This window comes from Homo sapiens, chromosome 12 (assembly GCF_000001405.40).
Source record: "Homo sapiens chromosome 12, GRCh38.p14 Primary Assembly".
Taxonomy (NCBI): Eukaryota; Metazoa; Chordata; class Mammalia; order Primates; family Hominidae; genus Homo; species Homo sapiens.
Genome location: NC_000012.12, coordinates 8,505,243 through 8,513,348, shown reverse-complemented (window position 1 = coordinate 8,513,348; position 8,106 = coordinate 8,505,243). Strand labels below are relative to the sequence as shown.

Below are 8,106 nucleotides of genomic sequence, written 5' to 3'. Positions count from 1 at the left end.
AGAAATAATTGTTATGCCCAATAAAAATTTAGTAAATGTCCCCTCTTTTTAAATTCTTTTTGTGAATATTATATTTTCAAAGGCAGTTATATTCTTGGGGTGAGTTCTATACTAAAAAGTTCTCTGGACTGAATAAAAAGTTGAGTCTAAGAGAGCAAAAGACAATGTGAACAATGAACAAAAACTTTTAAAGTATACCTTGTGTGTACATGGCATGTGAAGACACAGCAACCTTTGTTTTCGAGTTGAGGAAGAGATGATAGAGCAGTTAATTAAATCCCAAGAACTTTCTAGGTGAGCAAAAAGAGTTGTGTTAAGGCAAAGACAAAGAAAATGTAAGATTCTGTGATAAAGACACCATCAGGGTCCCTGACTTCATTTATAGCACTGTTAGGGAGTGAATGTCTGTATCTCCTCAAAATTCATTGGTGGAAGCACTACCCTCCAACGTAATGGCATTTGGAGGTCAAAAGTTTGGGAGGTAATTAGGTTTAATATGAGGTCATGAGAATGGGGTCCTCATGATGGAATTATAAGAAGAGACCCGGCTAACGAGCTGTTTACTTCCTGCGGGTGCTCAGGCTGTGGCCATCTTCCTTGCTGTTGCTCTTCTCATTGGAGAAGATGGCCCTGGAGACGGTGCTGAAGGACCTGTGGCATCTGTGGGCCTGTTTGCTGTGTTCACTGGTCAAGGTACTATAGACCAGTTTGAATATGATGGTTGTGACTATTGAGATGCATATCTACAGATGAAGGGTAACTGAGAGATGCTATATGGCTGCACCAGCTCCTCCTTTGATGGAATCATTGCGATGATGAGTCCAGAGGACAGCTGGGTCTCCAACTGGCAGCGAGTCAATAACTTTAAGCCAGGTGTATATGCGGTGTCAACCACTGGTCGCTTGCCCTAAGGAATCGTGCGGGAGCTGAAAAGTTGAGGAGTGGCCTACAAATCCAAAGACACAGCTATAAAGACCAGACGCAGGGCTGCCAGCGTCTTTGCTCTCCACCTCCTGCCTCTGCTTATTTTTTGTTCTGGAACTAAATGGGCAGAGCTTCAAATGCTTCCTACCCTCCAATTCAGACTCAGCCAACTGTTGAGAGAACAGCACATCATTTTATCATTTTACCTTATTTGGACTTCAGGTGGGGGTGGGAGGGATTTGGGTTGGTGGATTAACAGATGGAATTGAGGAGAGAGTAGGATGCTGACTTTCCTACCTGTAGCCCAAGGCTGCGCCTTGCTCATGAAGAGGTCTAGGTCAAATGTCAATAAATAGAAACCTCTAGAAAGTTCTTAAGGCCATGACACCTGCCTCGCTTCCCTCTTCCTTTCTCTTAGGCACACAGTAAGAGCTTATTTGCCCTATAAGATACCTTCCCAGAGCAGCAGAGGCCCTTCCACTCCCTCTTGACTGTCTCAGCCTCCAGGATTGCAGCCTTTGTAGTGTGCTTCCTTGCTTCCTATCAGAAGGTGCTGTCCAGAGGCTCAGTAACCCCATCAGCTTGGTGGCCCTGGTGTCTTGTGCTTGTATCCTTCTGCCCTTGAGACCTGGCACAGCAGTATCCCTTGAAGAAATCCTGAGGCTTTGTCGTGCTCCTTGCTCCTTGACCATGTTTAATAATTCTTTTCCCCCTCTGCTCGTCAGTTTTCTTCTCTTTACTGCTCTTCCTATATCTTAGGCCAGTCTCACACACTCACATTTTACATTTTCCTTACTGGAGACCCTTGGGCCTTGGCCGACTGCTGGGTCCTAGTCTGCCTTGTTTGTGCCCCTGTAGGAGGCAGGTCCTTTTCTCCGCCGGCCCAGTAGGGGACCTTGGGTAACATCCCATTTTTCGGCCAAAGTGAGTTATTTGTTTTAGGATAAAAAATTTACTACAAATTCTCATTTACTTAAATTTCCACAGAAATCCTGTTAGTGTCCCCATTTTGATTTCCCTAAGTTCCTTGTTCTCCCTCTGTAAAAAAAGAATGATTACACCTTGCCTGTTTACCTCAGGAATGTTGTGATTGTAGAAACGAAGCTATGTGAAAATTATGCAGCCATAAAAAATGATGAGTTCATGTCCTTTGTAGGGACATGGATGAAGCTGGAAACCATCATTCTCAGCAAACTATCACAAGGACAGAAAACCAAACACCACATGTTCTCACTCATAGGTGGGAATTGAACAGTGAGAACACTTGGACACAGGAAGGGGAACATCACACACCGGGGCCTGTTGTGGGGTGGGGGGAGGGAGGAGAGATAGCACTGGGAGAATGAGGAGTTAATGGGTGCAGCACACCAACATGTCACATGTATACATATGTAACAAACCTGCACGTTGTGCACATGTACCCTAGAACTTAAAGTATAATAAAAAAATTTAAAAAAAAATTTAAAAAAAGAGAGAGAGAGGAAAAAAAAAGAGAGATGAGTTCTCCAGAAGGCAGTCATCTGCAAGGCTAGTAGAAAGCCCTCACTGGTAAAGTGGTTAATTTGACAGGACTCCAAGAACAAATTTACATGACCTGAAGGAGGACACTTTGGGATTCATCACAGAAGCCACATAACCTACAGAGAGCAAAGAAGAGCGACACAGAGCAGCTGCCCATCCAGGATTGCCATGGAGCCAAGGGAGGCTCCCCACAATGGGGAAATGATGAGTGACAGTCCCTAGGGACCCACACTTCTGCCATGCTGGCACTCTGATCTGAGACTTCCAGCTATTAGAACGGTGAGAAATAAATGTCTCTCTTTCATACCACCGGTCTATGGTATTCTGTTATAGTGGCCCAAGCTCACTAAGACAAGTACATAACAGCTTAGAGATCCTTTAAGAAAGATCTCTACAATTTCCAGAATATAGCCCTTTCCCTGAACTCTTCCCTAAGCTACAATATTACTTTAATGATATGTGTGTATATATATTCTGTGATCTTCAGTGAAATATTACTTTACTATGTTAAATTGGGGATGGGAGGAGGTAAAATTATAGATTTGGCAATCCATATATTTTCCGGCACCGCCAGTCACTACAAGAAGTATTCCAATAGCAACAATAGCACTAACCCACAAACTCGGATATGCAACCCTGGAAACTAGATTTTTGGTTAAAGTAATATTTATTTCTATCAAAAGGACCTGGGACTCCTAGAGAATACATAAATCCTGCTTAGAACAGGAAAAAAATAGAATAGGTCTGGTACATTCTGTTGTTCTCAGAAAGTGACTATAATTTCAAAAATATGAGGGAAACCCTACTCTAGAAACTTCTCAGAGCTGAATGAAAAGCTGTGTCCAAGACAGTTAAGATTACAAAAAGACAATATGAACAATAAGCAAAACCTCCATTAACCTTTATTTTTGAGTTGAAGAAGACGTGACAGAGCTGTTAATTAAATCCTAACATCTTCCTAGATAATAGAAATCAGGCTTGTTAAGGCAAAAAAAAGAAAAAAAAAAAGGAGAGAGAGATTCTGTAGTAAAGACACAATCTTTATCACAGGTAAAAGGTAAAGTGGTTAATTTGACAGGACTGCAAGAACAAATTCACATAATTTGAAGGAGGACACTTTGGGATTCATCACAGAAGTAACATAACCCACAGAGAGCAAAGAAGAGTGAGACAGGACAGCTGCCCACCCGGGATTGGCATGGAGCCAAGGGAGGCTCCCCACAACGAGGAAATGATGAGTGAGTGACAGTCCCTAGGGACCCACACTTCTGCCATGAACCCGTACAATCCTGGGCACAGGGGATGCCCCTGACAACCCCCCGAGTCCTGTCCTCCACCAGGCCTGCACTTACATGGAGAGCTGCATGGAGTCGAATTCATGGTGCTGAGGAGCAGACAGACTGCAGGCCTCCGCTAAACCTTGCCAGGCAAAGCCCACTGGCCTGGGCCCCCAGCACAGCCACTCCACCCCCGCCTGAGGACTTGGGCTGGTAGCAGCTCTGCATTTCTATGGGATGGAGCTCGCAGAGGTAACACAACAGGAACACCGTTTTTTTTTTTGCCACTTCCATAGCCCCCGCCCCTACTGCCTTCAGGCTGGGAAGAGGGTGAAGAGCCTAAGGACTATCACAGACCTCCAGCATAGAACAACTGCCTTACAGAAAAGTGGCCACACTGTTTTCCATGCAAGTTCATGTGCCTGCTACTCCTCACTAGGCAGGCCTCCCCACCTGAGCCCCCAGCACAGCTGCCCTGCCTTGACCTAGGCACTTCAGGTGGTGGCAGCTCTGCATTTCTCTGGGGAGGAAATCCCAGAGACAAACCACAGGTTCTCTACATTGCCATGACAGCATACTAGTCTTGCTGCTCTCGGGCTGGGGAAGGAACAAAGAGACTGATTGCTTTCCTGGCACCTCCAGCATGCTACAGCCACCACATGAGGAGGAGCCGAGTCTTTCTTCCCTGTGAATCCCTTGCCCCCTACTCTCTACCAGGCAGGGCCCCCATCTTGGGCCCGCTGCATGGTATCCCCACCCCCAGCTGAGCATTCCCATTAGCTGTGGCTCTGTATCTGTCTGGGGCGGAGTTCCCAGAGACCACTGACAGCCACTTTGCCGCTGTCACTGCAGTGGTACTGCCCTTGCTGCCCTTGGGCTAGGGAACGAACACGGAACACAGACTCTGATTGCTTTGCTGGCACCTCGAGCATACACAGCCACCATACAGAGGGGAGCCAGCCTCTCCTTCCTGTGAGCCCCTGACCCCCTGCTCTTCACTAGGCAGGGCCCTGGGCTTGGGCTCATAGCGTAGCCACCCCATCTCCAGCTGAACATTCCCACTGGCAGCAGCCCTGTGTCTCTCTGGGGTGGAGTTCCCAAAAGCAACTGACAGCCCCTCTGCCACTACCACTGCAGTGGTATCTACCCATGCTGCCACTAGGCTGCGGAAGGAACAAAGAGCCTGAATGCTTACACCTTCAGAATGCCACAGTCACACTACAGAGGAGAGACCAGACTGTCTTCCCCATGAGCCTCATGCCCCTGCTGCTCTTCACCAGGCAGGGCCCCCTGGCTTGGGTTCACAATACAGCCACCTCACCTCATGCTGATCTTTCTGATTGGCAGCAGCTATGCTTTTCTCTGAGTGGAGCCCATGGAGACGAGTGACAGGCCCTCTGCCATTGCCATTGCCAAGGTTCCTGGCCCTGCTGCCCCCAAGCAGGGGAGGGGACAAAATGCCTGAGCTCACCCCAGAGCTGTGCTGAGCAGCCTGGAAATGCCAAGCCAAGATCTGCGGCCACTAATCTCAAGTATGAGAGAAGCCCACAATAACAGAGCACTGAGAGAGAGCACAGCTACAAATGTGAGGAAATACAGAGAAGCCACATGGATGATCAACAGCCTGCCTGCCAGTCATTATGCTTAGGCACCATCTATTAGATCCCAGCCCAAACTTCAACAACAAAAATACTTTGCTAACACACCTCCCTGTGAAACCAAGAGCAAGAATTCAGCCACAAATAAAGATCCCGTGCAAAGCCTCAGTCCTCTGAAAACATCCAGAAATGAAGCCAACTGACTATACTCCAATTACACCACAGTTAAAGGAACATCAGCCCACACAGATGAGAAAAAAACTGGCGCAAGAAGTCTGGCAACTCTAAAAGCCAGAGTGTCTCCTTACCTCCAAACAACCGCACTACCTCTCCAGCAATGGTTCTTAACCAGAAGGAATGACAGGTGTAGAAATCAGAATCTAGGTGGCAATGAAGATCATTGAGACTCAGGAGAAAGTTGAAAACCATTCCAAGGAACCTAAGAAATCCAGTAAAACGATTCAAGAGATGAAAGACAAATTAGCTATTTTAAGAAGGAACCAAGTTGAGCTGATATGGATGAAAAACTCAATTCAAGAATTTCATAACACAATTAGAACTATTAACAGCAGACTAGATCAAGTTGAGGAAAGAATTTTGGAGCACGAAGACCAATTCTTTGAATTAATTCAGTTAGACAAAAATAAAGAAAAAAGAATTTACAAAATGAACAAAACCTCTGGGAAATATGGGATTATGTAAAGGTACCAAATCTATAACTCATTGGTGTCTCAGAAAGAGAAGGAAAAAGAGCATGCAACTGGGAAAAAATATTTGAGAATATTGCCCATGAAAATTCTAACTAGAGAGGTTGACATTCAAATCCAGGAAATTCAGAGAACCCCTGCAAGATACTATACAAGACAACTATCCCCAAGACACATAGTCATCAGATTCTCCCAGGTCAACATAAAAGAAAAAAATATTAAAGGCAGCTAGAGAGAAGGTGCAGGTAACATACAAAGGGAAACACTTCATGCTAAAAGTGAACCTTTCAGCAGAAACCCTACAAGCCAGAAGAGATTGGGGGCCTATATTCAACATTCCTAAAGTAGATAATTTTTAACCAAGAATTTCATATTCAGCCAAACTAAACTTCATAAGTGAAGGAAAAATAGAATCTTTTCAGACATGCAAATGCTAAGGGAATTTGTTACCATCAGCCCTTGTACAAAAATCAGTAGCATTTCTACACACCATTAATACCCAAGATGAGAGTCAGGTCATGAACATAATCCAATTCACAATAGCCAGAAAAAGAATAAAATACCTGGGAATACAGCTTCCCCACTGCAGAAGTGAAAGTTCTCTACAAAAATCACAAACCACTGCTCAAGGAAATCAGAGATGACACAAACGAATGGAAAAACATTCCATGCTCACGGATAGAAAGAACCAATATTGTTAAAGTGGCCACACTGCCCAAAGCAATTTACACATTAAATACTATTCCTATCAAGCTACCAATGATATTCTTCACAAAATTAGAAAAAAAAACTATTTAAAAAGTCATATGGAACAAAAAATGAGCCTGAATAGCCAAAGCAATCTTAACAAAAAGAACAGGTCTGGAGACTGGAGACATTGTGCTACCTGACTTCAAGCTATATTACAAGGCTACAGTAACCAAAAAGAGTGTGGTACTTGTACAGAAACAGACAGATAGACCAGCGGAACAGGTTCGAGAACCAAGAAATAAAGCTGCACACCTACAACTATCTGATCTTCAACAAAGCTGACAGTAACAAGCAATAGGGAAAGGATTCCCTATTCAATAAATGGTGCTGGGATAACTGGCTAGCCATATGCAAAAGATTGAAACTGGACCCTTACCTTTCACTACATACAAAAATCAACCCAAGATGAATTAAAGTCTTAAATGTAAAATCTAAAACTATAAAAACCCTAGGAGAAAACTTAGGAAATACCATTCTGGACATCAGCCCTGGCAAAGGTATGACAAAGTCTCCAGGAGCAATTGCAACAAAAACAAAAATTGAAAAGTGGGAACTAATTAAACTAAAGAGTTTCTGAACAGCAAAAGAAACTAACAGAGTAAACAGACAACCTACAGAATGGGAGAAAATGTTTGCAAACTATGCATCTGACAAAGCTCTAATATCCAGAATCTGTAAGGAACTTAAACAAATCAACCAGCAAAAACACAAACAATCCCATTTAATAAATGGGCAAAGGACATGAACAGATACGTCTCAAGAGAAGACATAAATGGCCAACAGGCATATGAAAAAATGCTCAATATTACTAATCATTAGGGAAATGCAAATCAAAACCATAATGAGATATCTCACACCAGTCAGAATGGCTTTTTATAGCCAAAAATAACAGATGGTGAGGTTGCTGAGAAAAGGGACTGCTGATACACTGTTGGTGGGAATATAAATTGGTTCGGGCATTAAGGAAAGAAGTCTGGCAATTTCTCAAAGAACTTAAAATAGAACTGCCATTTGATCTAGCAATCCCATTACTGGGTATATACCCAAAAGAATATAAATTATTCCACCATAAAGACACATGCATATATATGTTAATCACAACAGTTTTCATAATTGCAAGGACAAGGAATAAGCCTAGATGCCCATCAATAGTGGACTGAATAAATAACATGTGGTACATATACACCATGGAATACTATGCACCCATAAAGAAGAATGGAATTATGTCCTTTGCTACAATATGGATGGAGCTGAAGTTCATTACGCTACGCAAATTAACACAGGAATGGAAAAACAAATATCAAATATTCTCACTTATAAGTGGAAGCT

General features: G+C 43.5%; 1 pseudogene; it reads left to right on the top strand.

Annotated features, from left to right (window-relative positions):
- Positions 560-1,277, top strand: SUPT4H1P2 (SPT4 homolog, DSIF elongation factor subunit pseudogene 2; annotated as a pseudogene).
- The last annotated feature ends 6,829 nt before the right edge of the window (positions 1,278-8,106 follow it).